This window comes from Homo sapiens, chromosome 12 (genome assembly GCF_000001405.40).
Source record: "Homo sapiens chromosome 12, GRCh38.p14 Primary Assembly".
NCBI lineage: Eukaryota > Metazoa > Chordata > Mammalia > Primates > Hominidae > Homo > Homo sapiens.
Window position 1 is genome coordinate 52879417 of NC_000012.12, and position 26169 is coordinate 52905585.

A 26169-nucleotide genomic window follows, 5' to 3' on the forward strand; every position below is an offset into this window, starting at 1 on the left:
CTGCCCAACTCCCCTCTCTGAGCCTCCAAAACGACAGCGTGCTGCACCTCGGAGCCGCTGGCTCACAGGCGGCTGCTTTCTCCTGGGGCCTGTCTGCTGCCGGCTTGCCTGTCCTCCTGGGTCCTGCCCACGCGCTTCTGCCCCCAGGCCCGTGCAGGCGTGGACCTCCCGCGAGGGCCTCAGCAGTCTCCAGGACAGAGAGTGGAACCCGCCACCTGCTGGAAAGGCCGGAGCCGGCGCAGAGCTAGCGCGGGGCAATGTGGCGCCCTCTGCGGGGAGCCCCTGCTGCCTCGCGCCGGCACTCAAACCTCCAGTACACAGTGCAGTGGAGGGCACACCAGCAGCAGCACGCCTGTCTCACCCTGCTCCTCAGTGCCCTCCGCCCTCAGCTCCCCCCACCCACCCCCCACCATGGCCCCTGCGTTGCCAAGGGCACAGGGCATAGGAGGACGTGGACTGATCCACCCCAAGCTCCGCTCACCAAGTCATGCCCTAGCCTACATTTCCCATGAGGATGGGAGCTTCCTCTGATTTGCACAAAGCCCCCCTGTCGGTTAGTGGTGGCCTGCAACCCAACAACCTCCCAAGTCAGCCTCCTGGGATAGGGAGGATGTAGTGAGGGGGTGGGAGGGTGTGCAGGCTCGGCTTCCAGAAGCCGGGAGAGCAGTTTCTTTCCCTGCTCCTCTGCTGCCTCCTAGTGGATGTCTGATGTCTCTCCGGTTTGCACAAATCCATCCCGCTTCGGTCAATCCTAGCCGTCTTGGTGCCCATTCTTCAGAAGTTCAAGCAGGCTGACAGCAGGCTGCAGGGAAAGAGGATAATCTACGGCTGCCCACGCTTCTCTGTGTCCCTTGGGTCCCCAGCACAGCACTGTCCCCCAGTGCCAATACTGGATTCTCAAAGTCTAGAAATGAAGGCAGAAGCTGGTGTTGGAGATTTTGCCCCTTTAATCAGCTGCACCTCAATCCCCTCTGTGCTGGCTCAGGTTCTTATGCTGCAGGAATCAAGGCGAGCCTTGCCTCTCTGGCCTCGGTCTCTCTGCTGTGTTTCCTGTGGCTTGTTTGATTTTGTTCAGGACAGGTTGTTTTGTTTTGTTTTGTGTGTTTTGGGTTTGTTTTTTTTGTTTTGTTTTTTGGCTTTTTGTTTGTCTGTTTCGAGCCAAGGTCTAGCTCTGTCACCCAGAATGGAGTGCACTGGCACGATCTCTGCTCAATGCAAACTTTGGCATACCCCCCCAACCCCCGCCCCCAGTCAAGTGATCCCAAGTAGCTGGGACCACAGGCATGCACCACCACCCCCGGGCGTGTGTGTGTGTGTGTGTGTGTGTGTGTCTCAGGGTCTCACTCTGTCACCCAGGCTGGAGTGCCATGGCGTGATCTCGGCTTACTGCAACCTCTGCCTCCCAGCTTCAAGCGATTCTCCTGCCTCAGCCTCCTGAGTATCTGGGATTACAGGTGTGTGCCACCACACCCAGCTAATTTTTTGTGTTTCTGGTAAAGACAGGGTTTCACCATGTCAGCCGAGCTAATCTCAAACTCCTGACCTCAAGTGATCTGCCCGCCTCGGCCTCCCGAAGTGCTAGGATTACAGGCATGAGCCACTGCGCCCGGCCCCAGCAATTTTTTTTTCCTTTGGTGGAGATGGGGTCTAGCCATGTTGCCCAGGCTGGTCTCAAATGCCTGAGCTCACGCAATCTGCCTGCCTCTGCCTCTCAAAGTGCTGGGATTACAGGCATGAGCCACTGCACCCCCAGCCATTTTTTCTTTTGTTTTTTGTTTGTTTGTTTGTTTTTTGTTTTTGAGACAGAGTCTTGCTCTGTCACCCAGGCTAGAGTGCAGTGGCACGATCTCAGCTCACTGCAACCTCTGTCTCCTGGGTTCAAGCTGGGTAGCTGGGATTACAGGTGTGCAACACCACACCCAGCTAATTTTTTGTATTTTTGGTAGAGACAGGGTTTCACCACGTTGGCCAGGCTGGTCTCAAATTCCTGACCTCAGGTGATCTGCCTGCCTCAGCCTCCCAAAGTGCTGGAATTACAGACGAGCCACCGTGCCAGCCCTCTGCTCCTACCTTGTTTGGATTTTGTGAGATTCCATCTTGAGCCTGGAGAACGGTACATGTATGTGCTTCCTGTACTGAGTAAAAGAGAACCATTCAAAGGAGGGGAAATTGAAGAGGAAAACTAGTAGACAGTATTGGGGTTACAAACGTGAGCCACCCCGTCCCTGGCCGTTTTTTCTAAACATTTGAATTAGTTGCCAACATTTAAAAATCAGAGGCATATGCAGGAGGATCACTTGAGCCCAGAAGGTCGAGGCTGCAGTGAGCTATGATGGCAACCACTGCACTCCAGCCTGGCAACACAGCAAGACTCTGTCTCTAAAAAAAATAAATAAATAAAATAAAATAAAATGAAAATAAAGAGATTTCATGTAAAAATCCAAATTTCTAATTTATTTTGCAAAGTTGAAAATTCTGGCCACTCTGGAACCACATTCCCAGGTGGCTATGATTGGCAGAGGGTGAGTAAAGAGGCTGCCTCAGATCTGATCCCAACATTTGAGGAACCAGGAAAAGGTGCAAAAGGAGAGCCATAGTTCCCAGCTCTTCTCACCTCAGCTCCTTCCTGCAGGCCAGGGGCCTGGCACACAAGTCTGTGGATGCCCCAGCTGCTCTTCCAAGTGCTATCTGTACTAGGCCAATAGAAATATGTAAGTAACCATCCTGGCTAACATGGTGAAACCCCGTCTCTACTAAAAACACAGAAAATTAGCTGGCTGGCCATGGTGGCTCACGCCTATGATCCCAGCACTTTGGGAGGCCAAGGCAGGCGGATCACGAGGTCAGGAGTTCGAGACCAGCCTGGCCAACATGGTGAAACCCCGTCTCTACTAAAAATACAAAAATTAGCTGGGCGTAGTGGTGGGCACTTCTAATCCCAGCTACTCCGGAGGCTGAGGCAGGAGAATCGTTTGAACCCAAGAGGCAGAGGTTGCAGTGAGCTGAGATCATGTCATTGCGCTCCAGCCTAGGCGGGGCGAGACTCTGTCTCAAAAAAAAAAAAATTAGCCAGGCGTGGTGGCATGTGCCTATAGTCCTAGCTACTCAGGAGACTGAGGCAGGAGAACCTCTTGAACCCGTAAGGTGGAGGTTGCAGTGAGCCGAGATTGTGCCACTGCACTCCAGCCTGGGCAACAGGGTAAGACTCCATCTCAAAAAAAAAAAAAAAAAAGAAATATATAAGTAAATTAAATACAAATGGAAGCCACTTATGGAACTTTCTAGTAAACACATTTTAAAAAGTAGGTGAAATTAATTTTAATAATATATTTTATTTAACCCAATATACTCCAAATATCATTTCAATATGTAATTAATATAAAAAATTAATAATATGATATTTTACATTCTTTTTCCCTTATATTAAGCCTTCAAGATTGAGTGTACAATTTATATTCTCAAAACATCTCAATTCGGATTAGCTGCATTTCAAGTCACGTAGCCATATGTGACTAGTGGCAACCTTACTGGACAGTGCAGATCTAGACACCCCTAATTCTCACCCCAGCTGCCCCAGGACTAATAGTATGCAGGAAGTGGGGCATGGGGAAGAAGTCCAAGCAGCTCCTGGAAGAATGCTTAGGCCATTTGGACAGGACTTCAGGACACAGGCCCTTTCTGGGCATGTGCACTCCCTGGACCCCTCGGATTTCTCACCCGGGGGGAAGAGCAAAGCCAGAGGAGAAACAGAAAATTAAACCACACTTGTGTCTACATTTCAATCTATGTGAGAGAATAAGAGCCCCATATGCTTCAAAAAAAGTAAGGCAGGCTGGGCGCGGTGGCTCACACCTGTAATCCCAGCACTTTGGGAGGCCAAGGCGGGTGGATCCCCTGAGGTCAGGAGTTCGAGACCAGCCTGACCAATATGGTGAAACCCCATCTCTACTAAAATGACAAAAATTAGCCGGGTATGTTGGCATGCGCCTGTAGTCCCAGCTACTTCAGAGGCTAAGGCAGGAGAATTGCTTGAACCTGGGAGGCGGAGGTTGCAGTGAGCCAAGATCACACCACTGCACTCTAGCCTGGGTGACAGAGTGACAGTCCGTCAAAAAAAAAAAAAAAAAGTAAGGCAAAGCATAATTCTTTGTGAACACAAGGAATATACCAAAGTTTCAATGAGCAAACAGCATTATGTGTCTGTCTACATTTTCTTTTTTTTTTTTTTTTTTTTTGGGAGATGGAGTCTCACTCTGTCACCCAGGCTGGAGTGCAGTGGTGTGATCTCAGCTCCCTGCAACCTCCACCTCCTGGGTTCAAGCGATTCTCCTGCCTCAGCCTCCCTAGTAGCTGGGATTACAGGTGCACGCCACCACACCTGGCTAATTTTTTGTATTTTTAGTAGAGATGGGGTTTCACCATTTTGGCCAGGCTGGTCTCGAACTCCTGACTTCTTGATCCTCCTGCCTTGGCCTCCCAAAGTGCTGGGATTACAGGCGTGAGCCACCATGCCCAGCATAATGTCTGTCTGCATTTTCTTATAGACTTACTTTGTTCTTTTACCTTAGCTGCCTGCCCCCATTGGCATTTAAGATTTTTATTCCCTTGGCCAAAAAATAAATAAATAAATAAATAAATAAATAAATAATAAAAAACCAAGGTCTTATATTCTGTCAACTTTTAACAATGAGAGTCAGAAATATGCCTAAGTATTGATGTTATCTGAGCATTAAGTTTGAGGATAGGCCAGGGCATGGTGGCTCATACCTGTAATCCCACACTTCTGGAGGCCGAGATGGGCGGATCACTTGAGCTCAAGAGTTCGAGACCAACCTGGGCAACATGGTGAAACCCTGTCTCTACCAAAACTACAAAAAATTAACTTGTTGTGGTGGCATGCACCTGTAATGCCAGCTACTTGGGGGGATGAGATGGGAGGATTGCCTGAGCCCAGGAGGTAGAGGCTGCAGTGAGCTGAGACTGAGCCACTGCACTCCAGCCTGGATGAAAAAGTGAGACCCTGTTTCTAAAACAAAAAAACAAAAGTTAGAGGCTAGCCACCCAGATGGCCTCCCAGAAAAGACAGACTTCAAAGGAATGGAGTCAGTGTTCCCAGGGTTTTACTTCTATAGGCAGAAACAGGGAAGTCTAACAGAGTTCCACATTTTCCATACAAAGCCCGTGCATAGGTCACACCGATTTGATTGATTACAGCTTGCTACATTCCAGAGAAGATTGCGTTAACATTCCATGAGGAGGGGTAATGATCTGAGGGAGTCTTATCTCTGACACTATTTGGTTATTTCTAATCTTTTACAGGAAAAGGAGGAAGTCACAGCTGCATGTGTGTGGCACGGGCCACATAGTTATCCTCCACTCAAGGCTCAAAATAATTTAAGTTCCAACACCTTTAAGTTTGAATTATTTAATTTCACAAGTCTTACTGTTTTAATAAATACCCAAAAGTAGACGGAGCTGGAAGGAAATGTAGTGTCAGGGGACCACCTGGAAGCCAGGAGACGGTGGCACTGCGGGGTGTTTGGCTGGACACTCCCCACAATGCCCTCCAGGGGGCGCCAGGAGCCTGGATAAAGAGACCCGCAGGAGCAAAGGTGGTGACTGTCCCTCTCCACCCCAAGGCAGGCCCAACTAGCATGGTCCCACTCGGGTCCTCTCCTCCAAGCCTGCAAGTTTCTCCTAAGTTAGAAGCATCTGGGCAGGAAAAATAATCTGGAAAAAGCTCAGGTTTAGAGCCCTTTGTTCTGATCCATGCGGCCACCAAATAGCTAGGCAACCCTGAGAGTCTGCCCCTCCGGGGCCTATAAAATGGGGTTTTAATCGGCCTCACAGGGCACATGTGTGGATCAAACAAGGCAGAGCCTTCCTGAGTGCTTTGGAAACTGAAACCCAATACAGACATGAGGAGGAAAACCTGAATGGAGCTCTTTCCTGGCTGGAACCATGGAGGTGTCCTGGAAAAACCTGAGCTTTTTTCCATATTATTTTGCCTGCCTGAGAAAGAAGTTTGCCCAAACGATACTTCAAAAGGCAAGGAGAGCCAAGCTCAGTGACTCACACCTGTAATCCCAGCACTTTGGGAGGGCCGATCACCTGAGGTCAGGAGTTCAAGACCAGCCTAGCCAACATGGAGAAACCTCATCTCTACTAAAAATACAAAAATTAGCCGGGCGTGGTAGCAGGCACCTGTGATCCCAGCTACTCGGGAGGCTGAGGCATGAGAATTGCCTGAACTCAGGAGGCAGAAGTTGCAGTAAGCCAAGAGCACACCATTCATTGCACTCTAGCCTGGAAAACAAGAGCAAAACTCTGTCTCAAAAAAAAAAAAGAAAGAAAGAAAGGCGAGGAGGAAGCTTATCTATGGAAAAGTGAAGCACTATCACAAGGAATATAGGCAGATAGATAGAACTGAGATTCAACTGGCTCAGATGGCAAGCAAAGCTGGCAACCTCTATGTACCTGCAGAACCCAACCAAGTTGGCGGTCATCAGAATCAGAGGTATCAATGTGTGAGCCCACAGGACCAAAAGGTATTGCAACTTTTTCACCTTTGTCAAATCTTCAATGGAAGCTTTGTGAAGCTCAACAAGGCTTCCACTAACATGCTGAGGATTGTAGAACCATATATTGCATGGGGGTACCCAAATATGAAGTCAGTAAATGAACTAATCTGTAAGTGTGGTTATGACAAAATTAATAAGAAGTGAGCTGCCTTGACAGAGAACACTTTGATTGCTTGACCTCTTGGTAAATACAGCATCATCTGCATGGAGGTTCTGATTCATGAGATCTATACTGTTGGAAAACTCTTCAAAAAAGCAAATAACTTCCTGTGGCCCTTCAAATTATCCTCTCCATGAGGTGGAATGAAGAAAAAGACCACCCATTTTGTAGAAAATGAATGTTGGCAACAGGGAAGACTACATCAATAGGCTTATTAGAAGGATGAACTAAGGGTCCACCATAATTTTTTTTTTTTTTTTGAGATAGAGTCTCACTCTGCTGCCCAGGCTGGAGTGTAGTGGCATGGTCTCGGCTCACTGCAACCTCTGCCTCCTGGGTTCAAGCGATTCTCCTGCCTCAGCCTCCTGAGTAGCTGCCACTACACCTGCCACTACACCCAACTAATTTTTTGTATTTTTAGTAGAGACGAGGCTGGTCTCAAACTCCTGACCTTGTAATCCGCCCACCTCGGCCTCCCAAAGTGCTGGAATTACAGGCATGAGCCACTGTGCCCGGCTACCTTGATTATTTTTCTAATCTGGTCAATTAATAAACAGTTCCTGCTTTCAAAATGAAAAAAAGAAAAAGAAAACCTGAATAGAGGTTATGGAAAGTGAATGTGCTGCCCTGGGGTGGGTGAGGGACACAGAAGGGGTCAGAGAGATAGTTCATCTCGAAGGGGATCCTAAGGGAAAGAGCATGCATCTTTATTTATAGTTTGCAAAACATCTTTACGTGCATCACCTTAATAAACATTACTGCCTTTAATCCTCATGAACACACTGCAATCTGATTGTCCCCATTTCACTGGCAGCAAACTGAAGTTCAGAGCAGGGAGGCAACATCCTCAGGGTCATAGATCCTGTGTGACTGGCAGAGCCAGGGTGCCCACCTAGGTCTTCTGCCCCCTCACCCAGGGCTTATCCCACTGTGCTGACTTTAATCATGTGTCCCTTGCAGAGGATGCCAGGGCCCATCTTCCTGAAACTGCTTCCATCAACTCCCTTCCTTATTCCCCATGCCTCAAGAAAAACAAAAAAAGAAAAACAGTCCAGGCAAGGTGGCTCACACCTATAATCCCAGCACCTTGGGAGGCTGAGGTGGGTGGAGTACCTGAGGTCAGGAGTTCAAGACCAGCCTGGCCAACATGGTGAAACCCCATCTCTACTAAAAATACAAAAATTAGCCAGGTGTTGTGGCGCGCACATGTAATCCTAGATACTGGTGAGGCTGAGGCACAAGAATTGCTTGAACCTGGGAGGCAGAGGTTGCAGTGAGCTCAGATCGTGCCACTGCACTCTAGCCTGGGCAACAGAATGAGACTCCATCTCAAAAGAAAATAAAAGAGAAAAGAAAAGAAAAAGAAAAAGAAACAAGAAAAGAAAAGGGCCGGGCTCGGTGGCTCACGCCTATAATCCCAGCACTTTGGGAGGCCGAAGCGGGCGGCTCATGAGGTCAGGAGATCGAGACCATCCTAGCTAATGCGGTAAAACCCCATCTCTACTAAAAATATAAAAAATTAGCTAGGCGTAGTGGTGAGTGCCTGTGGTCCCAGCTACTCGGGAGGCCGAGGCAGGAGAATGGCATGAACCCGGGAGGCGGAGCTTGCAGTGAGCCGAGATTGTGCCACCACACTCCAGCCTGGGTGTCAGAGAGAGACTCCATCTCAAAAAAATAATAAAATAAAATAAAGTAAAAATAAAAATAAAAAAAAGAGAAGGGAAGGGAAGGGAAAAGAAAAGAAAGAAAAACAATCTCCAACGTCACCCACTGCTGCTGAGATCAACTACAAATATCTCAGCCCTGCATCCCAGGCCTCTGTGACCCACCAAAATGTCCAGAGAATAAAGTGGGTTGGCTCAAAGGTATTGTGAAAAGCACCAAGTCCAGCCCCTCTTCTTTGTTCAAGAAAAGGGGACCAAGGCCCAGAGAAGGCAGGGATTTCCCAAGTGTCCCAGAGCAAGCCAAGAATGTGGAAGCCAGTTTGCTTCCCCGCCAGTGTTTTCTCTGCTCATCACCCAGCCACCTCTGGCAACCACACCTCTGAGACAAGCTGATGTGCTCAGTCTTAGGATTTGCTTCAGCTGGGAGTAACAAAGAAAAAAAAAAAAAAAGCAGTGGCTCAATCCAGACAGATATTTATCTCTCAATTCCCAGACCTATAGAGATAGTCTGTCCAAGGCCAGTATGGCACTACTTTATGGAGGGGACCCAGATCCCACCTCTTTCTTGCTCGGCCAAGGATGACTTCCATTCACCAGGTCACTCATGGTCCAACATGGCTGCTAAACTTCGGCCATTATGCGTGCATTCCTGCTGGCAGAAAGGAGGGGCGAAAGAAGCAGTTCACACTTCCTCTCCCTTTAAGGACACTTTTTTTTTTTTGTGACGGAGTTTCGCTCTTGTTGCCAGGCTGAAGTGCAATGGCACAATCTCGGCTCACCGCAACTTCCGCCTCCCAGGTTCAAGTGATTCTCCTGCCTCAGCCTCCCGAGTAGCTGGGATTACAAGCATGCGCCACCAACCACGCCCAGCTAATTTTGTATTTTTAGTAGAAACGGGGTTTCTCCATGTTGGTCAGACTGGTCTCGAACTCCCGACCTCAGGTGACCTGCCCACCTCAGCCTCCCAAAGTGCTGGGATTATAGGCATGAGCCACTGCGCCTGGCCTAAGGACACTTCTTAGACCCTGTACCCTCCACTTCTACTTCTATCCCTTTGAAACATGGCCACAGCTTAATCATAAACAATGCAGGAAAATGTCTTTATTCCAGAAAGCCGTAGCCCAAATAAAAAATAGGGTTCTAATTACTGAGGAAAAGGGGAGAACAGGTATTAGGGGACCACCAGGGTTCAATGCCTCACTAAATCCCCAGAGTCCACCATGCACACTCTTCCTCACCTTGCCATGTTCCAAACACCTAGTCCCTCCTCCATCCTGTGCCTGAGACAGGGACTGGTTCACCCTAGATGCCCAATGTTTGCTGAATGACTGAACAAATGAAATTGACTTTTCTGGAATATGTATTGTTTTTCCAGATCAGCTAGAAAGAGTTTGAGGACAAGGATCCTGTGTTATGTGTCTTTGTATTCTCCTCTGCCACCATCCTCCCCAGCTCCCAGGCACCAGGCACACACTCTAGACATGTTGCAAGCCAAGTTCTGCCCTAACTCTGTTCTGCTCACCCCTTCCTCAGGCACCTAAAGAGTGTCAGTTGCTGTCATGGGCTGGGTGTGGTCCAGAATCTCTTCAAGGCCACTTCATGGGGAAATACTTTCAAAGATCAATCCACCAGCTGTTTCTGGACTAGGTCTGAGCAAATTAATATATCTCCCCAAAAGGAAAGAGTTTAAAAGGGTTAAAATTGCAGAAAAAGAAATAGATGGCTGGCCAGGCATCGTGGCTCACACCTGTAATCCCAGCACTTTAGGAGGCTGAGGCAGGCGGATCATGAGGTCAGGAGATCGAGAGCACCCTGGCCAACATGGTGAAACCCTGTCTCTACTAAAAATACAAAAATTAGCTGGTTGTGGCGGCACATGCCTGTAGTCTCAGCTACTCAGGAGGCTGAGGCCAAACAATCACTTGAACCCAGGAGGCAGAGGTTGCAGTGAGCCGAGATCATGCCACTGCACTCCAGCCTGGCAACAAAGTGAGACTGTCTCAAAAAAAAAAAAAAAAAACTTATCAAACTCCCAAATTGTTTGGGCCAGGCTCGGTAGCTCACTCCTGTACTCTCAACACTTTGGGAGGCCAAGGTGAGTTGATCATGAGGTCAGGAGTTCAAGACCAGCCTGGCCAAAATAATGAAACCCCGTCTCTACTAAAAATACAAAACTTAGCCAGGCATGGTGGCATGTGCCTGTAGCCCCAGCTGCTCAGGAGGCTGAGGCAGGAGAATCGCTTGAACCCAGGAGGTGAAGGTTGCAGTGAGCCGAGATCATGCCATTGCACTCCAGCTTGGGCGACAGAGAGAGACTTTGTCTCAAAAAAATAAAAAAGATGGCTATCAATATGGAAATGGTTCATTCCTTTTTATTTGATAATTTTTATTGACCACCTACTATGTGCCTGGCACTCTGCTAAACACTGAAGAATCAGTGGAGAACCAAGCAGATATGGTGTGTCCCTGCCCTCATGGAGCTTACAGTGTATGGGGAAAGGCTGATATTAATAAAATACCTCTGCAGATGAATGAGTGACTGTAATTTACAAGGAGAAAATACAGGGTGCCTTGGGAACTTATCATAGAAACACGCCACTCAGTTTGTGGTGTCTAGAAGACTTTCTTGTCTTGTGGTGTCATAAAACTTTTTGTCTTGTCTTGTGGTGTCAGAAGACTTTCTTGGGGAAGCTGCGTTTGAGCGGAAAGCTTGGGAGTGACTAGGAAAGGCAGGGTGTTCCAAGCAGGGGGCCAGCCATGCAATGCCCTGAGCAGAAGCAAATTCCATGTAGGCTATGCCCTGAAAAGCCTGCACCACTGCATCAGAGAGCAAGGGACAGAGTGGCCAGGATGAGGCCTCAGAGGAGGAAGAGTAGGCACAGCCTGTGGGCCAAGTCAAGATTTAGGGCTTTATTCTGGGTGTCAAAAGTAAAGGGTTTTCCCATCATTCTGAGCAAACTATTGCAAGGGCAGAAAACCAAACACCGCATGTTCTCACTCATAGGTGGGAATTGAACAATGAGAACACTTAGACACAGGGTGGGGAACATCACACACCAGGGCCTGTCGTGGGGTGGGGGTAGAGGGGAGGGATAGCATTAGGAGATATACCTAATGTAAATGAAGAGTTAACGAGTTAACGGGTGCAGCACACCAACATGGCACATGTATACATATGTAACAAACCTGCATGTTGTGCACATGTACCCTAGAACTTAAAGTATAATAAAAAATAAAGAAAGAAAAGAAAAAAATAAAATAAAAATAAAGGGTTTTCCATATAAGGAAGTAACTGAATCTGATTCATATTTTTGAGAATGCACTCTGATTTTGGGGGCAGTGAACTATTCTGTATGGTACTGTAATGGTGGCTACATGGCCCCCACAGAATGTCCACACTAAGAGTTAACTCTAATGTGAACTATGGACTGTGGGTAATAATGATGTGTCAATGTAGGTTCATCAATCGTAACAAATGTATCCCTCTGAGGTGGGATGTTGATGATGTTGTAACAAATGTAGCCCTCTGGTGTGGGATGCAGGTGTAGGGGCAGAATGTGTATGAGAACCCTCTACCTCCTGCTCGATTTTGCTATGAACCTAAAATTGCTCTTTTTTTCTTTTTTTTTTTTTTTTTTTTTTTTGAGACGGAGTCTTTCTCTGTCGCCCAGGCTGGAGTGCAGTGGCATGATCTCAGTTCACTGCAAGCTCTGCCTCCTGGGTTCACACCATTCTCCTGCCTCAGCCTCTCGAGTAGCTGGGACTACAGGCGCCTGCCACCACACCCAGATAATTTTTTTGTATTTTTTAGTAGAGACGGGGTTTCACCATGTTAGCCAGGATGGTCTCGATCTCCTGACCTCGTGATCCACCCGCCTCAGCCTCCCAAAGTGCTGGGATTACAGGCATGAGCCACAGCGCCTAGCTAAAACTGTTCTTAAAAAATAAGTCTACTAAAAAAAAGTGCACTCTGGCAAGGGGCCCAAGTGAACCTTCTGTGATATAGGAAATGTTCTACATTACAGGTGTGAACATAAGTTAAAACTCATCAGGCGCCGGGCACGGTGGCTCACGCCTGTAATCCCAGCACTTTGGGAGGCTGAGGCGGGTGGATCACCTGAGGTCGGGAGTTGCCTGACCAACACGGAGAAACCCCGTCTCTACTAAAAATACAAAATTAGCCCGGCGTGGTGGCGCATGCCTGTAGTCCCAGCTACTCAGGAGGCTGAGGCGGGAGAATCGCTTGAACCTGGGCAGCGGAGGTTGCAGTGAGCCGAGATCGTGCCATTGCACTTCAGCCTGGGCAACAAGAGTGAAACTCCATCTCAAAAAAAATAAATAAAAATAAAAATAAAAAAACTCATCAGGTTGTACATTCCCCATTAAAGCACATTTTGCATTTTATTGTATGTACAATATGCCTCAGCAAGGAGGAAACAAAGGGACTTGTGATTGGCCAAGGCTGGCCCATTGTGAACCCTGTGTGCCTGGACAGAGGTCCTGTGATCTTAGGAGGAACAGTTCCTGAAAAGAAGTGGGGCGTGGCAGGAGTGGAGGTGGGGGAGCTTTGCATTACTAGAAGAAGGGGGAAGGGGTCCTGGCTAGACAAAGCAACTATGCCCACCACAATGTGTAAAAGGGCAGCGCGGAGAGTGAACTAGGGGGCCACCCACCATGCTGGTATCCTTCCCTGCCTTCCTTTCCTTGCAGTGGTGCTTCCTCTTCCTTTCCCAACAGGTAGAATCTATGATATATAATTACGTAGGGACATGCATGCACACATTTCTATCTATCCTTCATGAAGGGTATGTACTGTCCGCATTGTCACATGCCTTGCTTTAACATTCACTCCTCCATTCCCACCACCTTACACTCCAGTCAGCCTGGCCCTCGGTCCTTAGCCCACCTTCAGATCCCCCTACTACAGGGGAGCTCCTAGACCACCTTAGCCCAGATCAGCGGGCAGGCAGAGCAAAACCTTGGAATTAAAATATCTTCAGAAGAGTCCACAAATGCTTGGAAGACTCATCATTTTAATCCTGGGTGGTTGGGTCGGGAAAGGCAGGGTGGAGGGAAGTGGGGGATAATGGCTGGCTCATCTGGAATAGTCAAACAGGAACCTTCTTCTACACATGTAAATTTTCTAAAAAACTAAAATTCAGTCCCATAGGAAATCAAGCTTTAAAAACAAAAAGTCTACTAAAATTTAAATGTGCACACATTTTGCTTCAGCAATTCCACTTGTAGGAATTATTAAGATATCCTCACCATTGTCATAGCAAATACCAATAGAGGACTGGTTAAGTAAATTGTGGCACATCCCAAAGTGGAATATTATGCAGCTGTGAAAAAGAGTGGAGAAGCAACTTGTATACTGATATGGAAGGAACAGGTATTGGGTGAATGTTAAAGCAAGGCATGTGACAACACATATAGTACAATACCCTTCATGAAGGATAGATAGAAATGTATGCATGTATGTCCCTATGTAACTATATATAATAACTTCTACTTGGAATGAATCACAGGAAACTGGTAGCATTAATTGCCCTCTGGAACAGAAACTGGCTGACTGGGGAAGGGTCCTCTTGTACTTTTGAATTATGTATAAAGGCCGGATGTGGTGGCTCACACCTGTAATCCCAGCACTTTGGGAGGCCGAGGCCTCCTGGCTAACATGGTGAAACCCCGTCTCTACTAAAAAATAAAAAAAATTAGCCAAGTGTGGTGGCAGATGCCTGTAGTCCCAGCTACTCGGGAGGCTGAGGCAGGAGAATGGCGTGAACCCAGGAGGTGGAGCTGGAGCTGGCAGTGAGCCGAGATCATGTCACTGCACTCCAGCCTGGGTGACAGAGCGAAGACTCCGTCTCAAAAAAAAAAAAAAAAAAGAATTATATATAAAATGTATTTGTTACCTATTCAAAAAAAATTGTTGGCTGGGTGCAGTGGCTCACACCTGTAATCCCAGCACTTTGAGAGGCTGAGGCAGATGGATCACTTGAGGTCGGGAGTTCAAGACCAGCCTGGCCAACATGGCAAAACCCTGTCTCTACTAAAAATACAAAAATTAGCCAGGTATGGGGGTGCACGCCTGTAATCCCAGCTACTTGGAAGGCTGAGGCAGGAGAATCTCTTGAACCCGGGAGGTGGAGGTTGCAGTGAGCTGAGATCAAGCCATTGCACTCCAACCTGAATGACAGAGCAAAACTCTGTCTCAAAAAAAAAAAAATGTTTTCATTTATATGCGTTAAAAATCTAGTATTACTGGCCAGGCACAGTGGCTCATGCCTGTAATCCCAGCACTTTGGGAGGTCGACATGGGCGGATTCCTTGAGGCCAGGAGTTCAAGACCAGCCTGGCCAACATGGTGAAAACTCGTCCCTACTAAAAATACAAAAATTAGCTGGGCGTGGTGGTGGGCACCTGTAATCCCAGCTACTTGGGAGGCTGAGGCAGGAGAATCATTTGAACCCAAGAGGCAAAAGTTGTAGTGAGCCGAGATTGTGTCACTGCACTCCATCCTGGGTGACAGAATGAGACTCTGTCTCTAAAAAAAGGCTGGGCACAGTGGTTCACGCCTGTAATCCCAACATTTTGGGAGGCCGAGGTGGGCGGATCATCTGAGGTCAGGAGTTCGAGACCAGCCTACCCAACATGGCGAAACCCTGTCTCTACTAAAAATACAAAAAATTAGCTGGACGTGGTGGTGGGCACCTGTAATCCCAGCTACTTCGGAGTCTGAGGGAGGAGAAACTCTTGAACCTGGGAGGTGGAGGTTGCAGTGAGCCGAGATCGCGCTACTGCACTACAGCCTGGGTAAGAAGAGAGAAACTCCATCACTCAAAAAAAAAAAAAAAGCTAGGCTTAGTGGCTCACGCCTGTAATTCCAGCACTTTGGGAGGTCAGGAGATGGAGACCATCCGGGCTAACACAGTGAAACCCCGTCTCTACTAAAAATACAAAAAATTAGCCGGGCGTGGTGACGGGTGCCTGTAGTCCCAGCTCCTCAGGAGGCTGAGGCAGGAGAATCGCTTGAACCCGGGAGGCAGAGGTTGCAGTGAGCCGAGACTGCACCACTGCACTCCAGCCTGGGTGACAGAGCAAGACTCTGTCTCAAAAAAAAAAAAAGAAAAGAAAAGAAAAGAAAAAAAGAAAGGAAAGAAAGAAAGAAAGAAAGAAAGAAAGAAAGAAAGAAAGAAAGAAAGAAAGAAAGAAAGAAAGAAAGAAAGAAAAAGAAAAAAGAAAAAAAAATCTAGTATTGTCAAGAGTCAGGACACCACTTACATAAGCTTAGACTGATTCTACCTCCATGAATGGGGTTTTAAGTCCTGCCTCACAGGATCGTTGGAGACTTGAAATGAGATGACACACAAGCAGGTGAAATGGATATTTAAGAAATGTCAGCTCCTGTCCTTCCTAAGTTTCCTCATCTAAATGACCATTGGATTTCCAGCTCTTCTGTCTGTGTAGTTTCTGAAAGATAAATGGGAGGGATGGTGTCCCCTTAATGCTGGGTGACCTTGATCCCATGGTAGATGCACCAGAACCTGGAAGGAGCAAGCAGGGAGGGAGGGAAAGGGAATTCTCCCTGGAGCCATCCTGCCTTTCCCTGAGCAAACACCCAGGGCGTGGAAACTCCCAGGAGACTATCTGGTGGGGCCCCCGGCTGCCCCCAGCATGCCTGCTTCTGGGAACAGGGCCAGATAAGACAGGTGACTGGCTTCAGGGAGGATTGGGAGGGGCACAATTGAAAATATTGACTTAGGGCACCCATGGTAAGAGATCCTTCTCACTGGGTGCTGTGACTGCGCTGGGCTCTTACACCACCCACCTGATTCTTGCTGAGGGCCAGGCTACATGTGAGCAGAAGGCAGAAGGTTGGTATTGTTTCATGAAATTTTTGTTTCAGTTATATATATGTATATATACATATTTGCAGGTGGTGATAAAATGAATTTCTTACTGTGGACCACTGCCAAAATAGATCCCCTGCTCTGGATAATGGTGCTGTTAATGAGTACTACCAAAGAGTGAGATCCTCTAAGGTGACAGTGTGCAAATCCCTGGGCCTGGCCCTGGGGCTGAGTGGGAGGGGTTGGCAGTGGGGGGTTCCTGGGCTCAGTCTGGAAGCCCAGCTCCATCGATGTGGGTAGCTAGGGAGGCACTGTGTGGTAGTTAGGGAGGTGCAGAGATGGGGCCCTCAGAGGGGAGCCCAGGGGCTGGGAAGCTGAGGACCCAGAGACAGGAGCCCTGGAGAGAGACCGCACAGCAGAGCCTGACAGGAGCTTCCTGCACCAGCCTGTCCCCACTCACAGTACCCTCTGCCTGTCTCTGTCTAATCTCCATTGGTGTTTCAGAAAGTCTGGAAATGCCCCCATCTCAGTCGTGCTAAGGGCTTGTGCACTTAGCCCAATGCTGAATGGACAGGGTGGCTGCCTGGAACTCTGTGCTTGTGGCAGTGGAGCAGGACTGTGGGGATGCACTGCCCCACCCAGCTGTGTCCTAACCCCTCCTGCCCTGAACCTTGGAGGTTGTCTCAAGAGTCAGGCAGACCCCTTCACACACTGTGCACACCCATGCACACACAGTACACCCTCCACATGCAAACACAGAATGCACACACGCCCTTTATATCATACACACAGCTTGTAAAAAGGATAGGAAGGGGGTGGTGGCTGTGACTGAGTGGAGTGGGGAAGGGCCAAGTCCCACAATTTCTAGCTTCTAGAAATTGTGGGTATGACACACCCAATGGCTGAGAATAGACTCTGAACCTCTGAGGGGATGGAAAAGCCAGGATGCCTTAGTCCCTGACTGCAAAGATTGAAGGTGATAAAAAGACATGTCTGGCCACAAGGAAAGGCCATGTGCCTGGCCAAGGAGGAGTACAAGCCTGAGAGCTGGACAGCTCTGGGTTCCAATGCCAAATCTGCTAGTTTCTAGATGAGCCAACTACTTGGCTTCTCTGAGCCTGGCTTTCCTTATATGCAGATAGTCCTGATGCCAAGGTGTAGGGGAAGCACACTAAGCTCTCTGCTGATAATGCCCTCAAAAACTTGCTCTGCCTGCCTCTTGAGCCTTGCTGCACAGATCACATGAACCTTGGGATTTGAAAGCACACTGTAAACCAGAAAGCACTGTGCACAGGTCAATGACTATTATACAGGTGTAGATATCTATGGCAACAAGCAAGGTTTCAACCAGGTTTCAATAAAGGAGCCTCTTTAGGAACAGCTGAGGGGGTCAGACTTTCCCGCTGTGCACCCCCTGCTTCCTGGACCCCTCCCAGCTTCTCAGTCCCAAGAAGAGGCCTCCTGACCACCTCCCTCCCACCCCAGTGGACATCAGATGCACACACAAGCAAGGACATTGGCAGAGCTAGCTGAGGTTTTATTTTGGACCAAAAAAAAAAAGCAATTGAATTGTTTTGTAGCTGGAGGCATGGGCAAGGGGGGTCCCCAGGTAGTAAACTCCCCAGGTGGGCTGAGGGCTAGGGCTGAGCCTCAGGTGGGTCTCCTGTTCCCAGTGCTACCCTGCATAGCGGCCTCCTTCCCAGGCTCTGGGGCAGCGCAGGAGGGGTAGGCTGGGAGGGGCTGCCGCAGCTGTTCACTTGGGCAGGACGTCAGAGGACTCAGACACCAGCTTCCCATCACGTGTCTCGATCTTCTTCACAACCACGGCCCTGGAGGAGCTGGTGCGGCTGAAGGAGCTGGAGCCCGCGCCAGAGCCAAAGCTGGAGCCCAGGCTGTAGCTGAGGCCGGGGCTTGTGAGGCCCCCATAGGCCGAGCTCAGACCACCTGGTGAGGGACAGAGGTAGCCACATGAGTACAGAAGCCCACCCCATGGCAGGCTCCATGCCCCTTCTCCCTGCTCATTCCCAACATAGCCCCAGGGATGGGAGGTTAACCCAGCTCTGCCTGATCAGTGATTGCATGGTTCACTACTCCAGAACTGTCAGGGAAAACCAGGAGCAGGGTGGAAAACAGCTGCCATATATATAGCTGTGTGACCTTGGACATTTAGCTGCACCTCAGCTTCCTCAACTGAAGACGTTTACAGGTGTCATATAAAAAATAAATTACAGCCAGGCCCAGTGTCTCATGCCTGTAATCCCAGCACTGATCACAAGGTCAGGAGTTCGAGACCAGCCTGCCCAACACAGTGAAACCCCGTCTCTACTAAAAATACAAAAATTAGCTGGGCATGGTGGTATGCGCCTGTAGTCCCAGCTACTTGGGAGGCCTGAGGCAGGAGAATCTCTTGAACCCAGGAGGTGGAGGTTACAGTGAGCTGAGATCACGCCACTGCACTCCAGCTTGGGTGACAGAGCGAGACTTCGTCTCAAAAAAATTAAATTAAATTAATAAATAAAATAAATCACATAAAACCTGTAGGATACTTAGCACAGTGCCTGGCACACAGCTATGGTTTATTTGGGTGCTTTCTAATAGTAAAGTTACTAAGTAATAAAGTTATTACTGGGGTCCTGAATATGTGCCTCCCCACCCTAGGATTCTCCCAAGAACATGAGTGCTCAGGCTGAGGTCACTGTGAGCGACTGAGCACAGCCCCCTCCCTGGAGCTGAGGCCTCCCTGGGCCCTGCCTCCCGCCCTCATCCCAGGGCCCTGGGACACCCACCTGCATAGCCGCTGGTGGTCTTCGTATGAATACTCATGTTCTGCATCCCAGACTCCAGCCTGTACCCAGACAAATGGGGTGTCAGGACCAACTCCTAGCCCTTCTTGGCCCAGAACAACAGGACCCCAAGTCCCAAGGGGCTTCAGGGGGCTCCCACCGTCCCCACCCCAGGTCCCAGGGATAGGGAAGCAGGTCCGGTCAGAGGTACCCACACCCACCGGCTCTCCTCGCCCTCCAGCAGCTTCCTGTAGGTGGCGATCTCGATGTCCAGGGCCAGCTTGACGTTCATCAGCTCCTGGTACTCACGCAGCTGCCGCGCCATGTCCTGCTTGGCCCGCTGCAGGGCGGCCTCCAGCTCGGACAACTTGGCGTTGGCATCCTTAATGGCCAGCTCTCCACGCTGCTCGGCATCTGCAATGGCGGCCTCCAGGGAAGCCCTCTGTGGGGTAGGGGACAGGTAAGTAGGTCAGGTTGGGTATGCCTTCTCTTCTCCCGTGCTCCCACCCTCCCTCAGGGTCCTCCCCACCACCACCTAGGCTGACTCCCCCCAGCTCAAATTAAATGAGACTAAGGGCCGGGCACAGTGGCTCATGCCTGTAATCCCAGCACTTTGGGAGGCCGAGGCGGGCAGATCACAAGGTCAGGAGATCGAGGCCATCCTGGCTAACACAGTGAAACCCCGTCTCTAGTAAAAATACAAAAAAAATTAGCCAGCCTGGTGGCGGGCGCCTGTAGTCCCAGCTACTCAGGAGGCTGAGTCAGGAGAATAGTGTGAACCCAGGAGGCGGAGCTTGCAGTGAGCCGAGATCACGCCACTGCACTCCAGCCTGGGCGACAGAGCAAGACTCTGTCTCAAAAATAAATAAATAAATAAACGAGACTAAGGAAGCAGATCAGGGAGACATGAGCAGTTTCCAGGTGCTTCCCCTCCACACCCTTCTCACCTGCGACACTGTAAGGTCCCCCTACCCTAACTGGACTAGATCCCTGGGTTCTAGACTTTCCTTAAAGCAGCAGAGCTCAACCTTACCCTGATGCATATGACTGATTAAAGCAGGCTTGGGAGCATGTATCACGAGCCCCAACATACCTGCCCCAGTCCCCTTTCACCTCTGTCCTGGCCCAAGGGACCTTCCCTGCATCCCTTTGCTTCTCAGAAGCAGACTGAGAAGCTGAACTGTGGCTGCCCCTCCAACTCCTGAACCCTGGTCTAGGATTCCTTCCCCGACTCCCAGAAACTTCACTCTTCCTACATTATCTCCTCTCACCAGGATGTGTCCAAGGAACCCCTCCCACCCCCAACCCGGCCCATACCTGGCCTTTGAGGCCCTCAATCTCAGCCTGGAGCCGGCTGATGTTCCGGTTCATCTCAGAGATCTCAGTCTTTGTGCGCCGCAGGTCATCCCCGTGCTTCCCAGCCAGGCTCTGCAGCTCCTCATACTTGATCTGGTACATGCTCTCAGCCTCAGCCCGGCTGCGGTTGGCAATATCCTCGTACTGTGCCTTGACCTCAGCAATGATGCTGTCCATGTCCAGGGAGCGGCTGTTGTCCATGGACAGCACCACAGATGTGTCCGAGATCTGGGACTGCAGCTCCCGGATCTCCTGTGGGGGAAGAGGGCAAGTGGTGAGGCCCTGTCTCTGCACACAGGGAGCCCCCTTTTCCACAACAGCCTTTCTTAGGGTATAAGACAGGGGCAGCAGAGGAGAGGAGCAGGTGGGAGTCAGGGTCAGGGAGAGGGCAAAGTTCCTGAAAAAGGAACTGGGTGCACCAATACTAGGTGCACAGAGGGATCCAATGCAGCTCAAAGATTAGGAACAAGGGCTTTGGGGACAGAGTTGCTGCTGAATCACCACACCCTATGATGACCTTGGATACGTTATTTCACTTCTCTGAGCCCACTTTCTCGTCTGTGAAATGGGGTAATGACTCATCCCTCATGCGAGGGACAGAACATATAGACCCAATAAATACTAGCCGAGCAAATATTGGTGGCTGTAATTAGTCAGCAGTGGGCCTTTGTCTTATTAGTGTGCTGGGGGCTGGGAGGAGCCTCTGGTTGAGTCTCAGGGTGGAGGCGCTGACAAGGCTGGGGGACCCTCACTCTCCTGCGACCAGGAACATACCTCTTCATATAGCTGCCTGAGGAAGTTGATCTCGTCGGTCAGCCCTTCCAGGCGAGACTCCAGCTCTACCTTGTTCATGTAAGCTTCATCCACATCCTGGGGGATGAGGAGAGGGGAGCCTGAGCTGGGTTTCCACACCCAACCCCAACCAAGGGGCTCCCAAGGTCCACCCAATGGCCTGGTCACAGGACTTTCTAGTTGCCCACTTTGTGGATTGATCTTCCAGCCCAGCCTCTGCCCATCACATGTGCATTCTCAGCCCACACACCTTCACCTCTGCTTCCTGCAACACACCCTCTTCCACCTCCTTCTCTAGGGAGCCTTCTAGAGCCAGATCTCCAGTTCTACTGCTCTGTTTTCTGAACCATGTCCCAACACCGATGTCAAGAGTTCTGTCCAAATGCACCTACCACTCCATCCTTGTCTACCTTTCTGTGCACCCAAATGTTTACATAAATGAGTTTGTCCCACTACTTAGGAATATTTAGGGACAAAACCCAGAAAGCTTCTTGGTCTGAGTCTCTGAGCCCCAGCCTCCAGTGTCCAGATAGGAGAAGGGAGACTCCCTCACCTTCTTGATGAGGACAAATTCGTTCTCCATCTCTGTACGCTTATTGATCTCATCCTCATACCTGTGAGGAAAAGACTTACAATTAGAGGATGAAGGCAAAAGGGAGGTTGCCCTTGGTCTTTTGGGAGACAGGGGCGTTGTGAAAATCAGGAAAATTCAGTTCACAGAGATGCAGGATATGAGAAGGCTGGTCCTTCTGCCTTCCCCAGCTGCCCTCTCCACCCTCACCCCTCCCTTAGCCCGTGGGAAGCAGGAAATCTCTCTCCAAATCCATGAATACACATCGGATTGGACACCTTGAGAGTGTTAACAGCAGGGCCTGACATGAGACCTCAGACAGAACTTTCTAGAGTTTGCTAGAGGTCAAGGGTCAAGACTAAAGAGGGGCCAGAATGTTAAGTACAAAAGTGAGGCCCACAGGCTGCCTATCTCTCCCGTCTCAGGTTTACCATGTCAACATTGACACATAATTTGTTCTTCAAATCCAGACAGTTGAGATTGAAAGGGGGTGGGTACTATCAACAATTGTGCTAGGAACCTGGGCATAAACACAGACTGTTCCGAGCAAACCTCATCAGGTGGTCACCCTAATTAGATAGGACTGCACTTCCCACAACAGAGGGCCATGGGGACTTAGTCCCAAGGTCCCAAGGGGTGGAGGAGAGCACGGTGACTTCAGTTGGGTGGAGGGTGGGAGTTGCTCACTTGTTCTTGAAGTCCTCCACCAGCCCCTGCATGTTGCCAAGCTCCGCCTCCAGCTTCAGCTTCTCCTGGCCCAGAGTCTCCAGCTGCCGCCTAAGGTTGTTGATGTAGCTCTCGAACATGTTGTCCATGTTGCTTCGAGCCGTCTTCTGCTGCTGCAGGAGGCTCCACTTGGTCTCCAGCATCTTGTTCTGCTGCTCCAGGAACCGTACCTATACGAAGGAGGAGAGAGCAAAAAGGTCTACATCAGGCCAGGGCTCAAAGTCTGGAGGAAAGCAAGCAGTCTTTTCTCTTAATTCACTCCTCAAGCAGTAAGGTCTCCAGACCCCAGGCACCTGGTTAGCTGTTCTGGAAAGATCACCTATGACCAGGGGGAGAAAGCATGGCATGATGGTGAGGTGGGGAGCAATGTCCCTCAGCATTGGGTAGGGGAAGGAGACAGGTAAGGTAATTATGTTAAAGCTGCATTTGCAAACCAATAGGCCTAACTTCATTTACATAGGTTGTATATTACACATCAATAAAAATAGCCAAGCTTTCTTTGGGAGTCTCCGGCGCCCAGGCTGGAGTGCAGTGGCAAGATCTCAGCTCACTGCAAGCTCCGCCTCCCAAGTTCATGCCATTCTCCTGCCCCTGCCTCAGCCTCCCGAGTAGCTGGGGCTACAGGCACCTGCCTGCCACCACGCCCCACTAATTTTTTTGTATTTTTAGTAGAGACAGGGTTTCACCGTCTTAGGCAGGATGGTCTCGAACTCCTGACCTTGTGATTGGCCCGCCTTGGCCTCCCAAAGTGCTGGGATTATAGGCGTAAGCCACCGCGCCCGGCCAAAAATAGCCAACCTTTCTAAAGATGTTAAGATTGAAAAAGAGGCCGGGCGTGGAGGCTCACGCTTGTAATCCCAGCACTTTGGGTGGCCAAGGCAGGCGGATTTCTTGAAGTCAGGAGTTCGAGACCAGCCTGGCCAACATATTGAAACCCTGTCCCTACAAATAATACAAAAATTAACCGGGCATGGTGGCACGCACTTGTAGTCCCAGCTACTCGGGAGGCTGAGGCAGGAGAATCGCTTGAACCCAGGAAGCGGAGGTTGCAGTGAGCTGAGATCACACCACTGCACTCCAGCCTGGGCGACAGAGTGAGACTCTGTCTCAAACAAACAAAAAAACTTGTAACTCCTTCTAAACTGGAGGGGACAGAAATCTTTTAAGGGTACAGCCTAGTTCCCTCCACCACTCTCTGCAAATCGCTTTCTTCCCCAGGTCATTCTGCCCCAAAATTATTTTTTAAAAAAAAGTGATTATAACATCTTATCCTAATGGAATGTGGGCCAAGCACTGCTGAACTCTTTACATATGTAAGTTTGAATAGGCAAAAACTTTTGCCTATATGGATTTAGGGGCTCTCATATTCATTTTATAGATGAGGAAATAAGACTTGGCAAGGGAGTCCATAACCAGGAACCGGCAGAGCAGTGCGAACCAAGAATTCAGATTCCAAAGCCTATGCTTAGCTGCTCTCTATAAGGACCCCAGGGCTAGCAAAACGCAGTCAACAAGTCAAGTCCAGGCGCTTGGAGCGCCAAGGGCCCCCGACCACTGGGTTCCTGGGGCTCCGGTTCCTCCCGGCTTACTCTGCCCCAGGATTTCCCTCCTCCCGTTCCCACAATGCCTCCCAGGAGCCAGTCAGCGTGAAGGGCCCAATCCTCGGGGCCGCCGGGGGCCCGGGGCCCCTCAGGCAGCGGAGTCCCAGGGCTGCAAAACCCGGCCTGGCTCCTGCTGTGTGAAAGTGGAGCCAGGCCGCTGGGGCGGAGCAGGGACAGGACGCGAGAAAGGGACACGGGCTGAATGGGCGAGGGGCGTTGGTGGGCGACCGCGTTATCTGAAGCCATAAACTTAACAGGACGTAAACCCCGGGCGGGGCGTCCCACGCCCGCAGACTTTGAATCCTGCATGGGCTTTCCGAGGCCAGGCCCTGGCGCCTCCTCCACCCCACCCCAGCCCACCCCACCCCACCCCACCCCACCCACACCGCCCCCGACGCCGAGCTCCGCCAGGTGGAGGAGAGCGTCCCGAGACTGCTGCCCGCAGCCCCTCACCCCGCCCTCGGCCCCGCCCACGCTGCCGGCGCAGGGGCCGGGGTATGACTCATTCTGTGACCCCCGCACTCAGGCCTCCGGGCGCCAAAGGCCTCAATCAATATTTGCCCGTTTGAACCGAGACACCCACTTCCTTCTCCTAGAATGCTAGAATCACACCAAACCCCTATGTAAAAAAAAGAAAAGAAAGAAAAAAAATCACAAAGGCACCACTGGGGAGCCCTTGGGGTAGTGCTGGCGAAGAGGCGAACCTGGAGGAGGGTAGTCCCCGAACAGCTGGGACTGCCGCAGGGCGATAGCTTAAAAGACGGTCAGAACTCGGGTTGGGGTGAGAACAATAACCGCTATTATTTTTTATAATTTGGGGACAGAATGACCTGAGGAAGAACGGGATTTGTAGAGAGGGGTGGTGGGAACTAGGCTGTACCCTTAAGTTGTCTCTCTCTTCCAAGACCCTCCAGTTTAAAAGGGAAGAAGGAAGCCCCAGGATTCATCCCGGCTGTCCAGACCCTCTCCCCACCCTCACCCAGCCCAAACCAAGGTGCACGGGAGGGGTGAGTCGGAGGATGGAAGGGAGAGTGTCGCCAGGGCGGGTGAGGCCCAGCAGGACGCCAGCTGGGGGCTGGAGATGTGCATAGGGACCGGGACTACCAGGAGAAAGGGGCTGCGGGCACAGTCAGCCACGCAGGGGGGACCCTCACCTTGTCTATGAAGGAGGCAAACTTGTTGTTGAGGGTCTTGATCTGCTCCTTCTCCTGGGTGCGCACGGCCTGGATGTTGGGGTCCACCTCCAGGACAAGGGGGCTCAGCAGGCTCTGGTTGACCGTAACTGCGGTGATGCCTCCCATGCCGCTGGCCCCACCATAGCCGCCGCCCAGGCCACCGCGAAAGTTGCTGCTGCCCACTCGGGAGAAGCTCGAGGAGCTGATGCGGGAACCGGGCCCACTCGTGTAGGAGCGGCTGCTGAAGGCCCGGGGGCCAGAGGTGGACACCTTGTAGGACTTCTGGGTCACCCTGATGGACATGGTAGAGGCAGGAGTGGAGGCAGGCGGGCCGAACCAGGCGGAGATCCTAGAAGGAGCGGAGAAGCTGCTTCTTGGTGAGGAGAGCTCTCAGGAATGGCCTTTTATAAAAGAGATCCCAGCCCCGGGGGATGGGGGGGAAAGGCCTCGTACCTGAGTGGCTAGGCCCAGAGGGGGCTGGGCCTAACCCGTCACCTGCCACCTCCGGGCAGGACTCAGGTGGGGGCAGCAGAGAGCTGCCGCCACCCAAGGGCCCGTTCCAACCCTGGAGCCCACTCCAGCACCACCCCCAGAAACCCAGGAAAAGGCAGTTCAGTGAATATGAAACTGGAAGAAATCCTGTCCTGGCACAAGTGCCTGTAACAAGCAGACTTGCCTGGGCCGCCCAGCCACTACAACCCTGACTCCTGGGTCTTGTCTCCCTCCCTCCTGGGGGAAATAAACTGGAGGACTGGGAAGCATGGGAAAAAGGGGTCTCCTAGTATTTGGGTCTCCTCTGAGCTGCCGACACCCCAGAGAAACTCTCCTGTGTTCTCCCTGATTGAAGCGATTATGAGGGCCTGCCTGAGCTGGATGACAGAACAGCTGGAGTCCAAAGCCTTGAATC

General features: G+C 50.5%; 1 protein-coding gene, 1 non-coding gene and 1 pseudogene across 5 annotated transcripts in view, besides 6 other annotated features; 1 reads left to right on the forward strand and 2 right to left on the reverse strand.

The window, feature by feature from the left end:
* Nucleotides 5389-5683: a silencer, noted in NCBI's record as "tiled region #10657; K562 Repressive non-DNase unmatched - State 12:CtcfO". NCBI's record gives its function as "represses a minimal TATA promoter and a strong SV40 promoter by Sharpr-MPRA in K562 cells {active_cell/tissue: K562}" and the evidence as "EXISTENCE:reporter gene assay evidence [ECO:0000049][PMID:27701403]".
* Nucleotides 6343-6993, forward strand: RPL7P41 (ribosomal protein L7 pseudogene 41; annotated as a pseudogene).
* Nucleotides 14596-14774: a silencer, noted in NCBI's record as "fragment chr12:53287796-53287974 (GRCh37/hg19 assembly coordinates)". NCBI's record gives its function as "represses an EF-1alpha promoter that drives an FKBP-Casp9 reporter gene in an ReSE screen in phorbol 12-myristate 13-acetate-treated (for megakaryocytic differentiation) K562 erythroleukemia cells {active_cell/tissue: K562(+PMA)}" and the evidence as "EXISTENCE:reporter gene assay evidence [ECO:0000049][PMID:32094911]".
* Nucleotides 15689-15983: a silencer, noted in NCBI's record as "tiled region #10212; HepG2 Repressive DNase matched - State 5:Enh". NCBI's record gives its function as "represses a minimal TATA promoter and a strong SV40 promoter by Sharpr-MPRA in HepG2 cells {active_cell/tissue: HepG2}" and the evidence as "EXISTENCE:reporter gene assay evidence [ECO:0000049][PMID:27701403]".
* Nucleotides 17775-26169, reverse strand: part of KRT8 (keratin 8) — a 52670-nt gene continuing 44275 nt past the window's right edge. For 3 of the 4 annotated variants that reach the window (NR_045962.2, NM_001256293.2, NM_001256282.2), the window contains exons 2-9: nucleotides 25242-25611; nucleotides 22448-22656; nucleotides 21743-21803; nucleotides 21172-21267; nucleotides 20359-20649; nucleotides 19263-19483; nucleotides 19045-19103; nucleotides 17775-18202 (exon numbers count right to left, since the gene is read on the reverse strand). Coding sequence is in view for 3 of the 4 variants with exons in the window: in NM_001256282.2 (NP_001243211.1) it covers nucleotides 18012-18202; nucleotides 19045-19103; nucleotides 19263-19483; nucleotides 20359-20649; nucleotides 21172-21267; nucleotides 21743-21803; nucleotides 22448-22656; nucleotides 25242-25611 (1498 nt within the window). In the remaining variant the exon portion in view is untranslated. Of the gene's footprint in view, nucleotides 18203-19044; nucleotides 19104-19262; nucleotides 19484-20358; nucleotides 20650-21171; nucleotides 21268-21742; nucleotides 21804-22447; nucleotides 22657-25241; nucleotides 25661-26169 lie in introns of those variants that run through there. The other variant, NM_002273.4, reaches the window with a different exon arrangement.
* On the reverse strand, nucleotides 19473-19568 carry MIR9898 (microRNA 9898). The gene has a single exon (NR_162090.1). It is a non-coding gene; the product is annotated as a microRNA 9898 (primary transcript).
* Nucleotides 19499-19998: an enhancer, noted in NCBI's record as "H3K4me1 hESC enhancer chr12:53292699-53293198 (GRCh37/hg19 assembly coordinates)". NCBI's record gives its function as "activates a minimal SCP1, AML or CMV promoter by ChIP-STARR-seq in naive H9 embryonic stem cells {active_cell/tissue: H9 hESC(naive)}" and the evidence as "EXISTENCE:reporter gene assay evidence [ECO:0000049][PMID:30033119]".
* Nucleotides 22017-22861: an enhancer, noted in NCBI's record as "H3K4me1 hESC enhancer chr12:53295217-53296061 (GRCh37/hg19 assembly coordinates)". NCBI's record gives its function as "activates a minimal SCP1, AML or CMV promoter by ChIP-STARR-seq in naive H9 embryonic stem cells {active_cell/tissue: H9 hESC(naive)}" and the evidence as "EXISTENCE:reporter gene assay evidence [ECO:0000049][PMID:30033119]".
* Nucleotides 24431-24600: a silencer, noted in NCBI's record as "silent region_4486". NCBI's record gives its function as "represses an Ori minimal core promoter by ATAC-STARR-seq in GM12878 lymphoblastoid cells {active_cell/tissue: GM12878}" and the evidence as "EXISTENCE:reporter gene assay evidence [ECO:0000049][PMID:35858748]".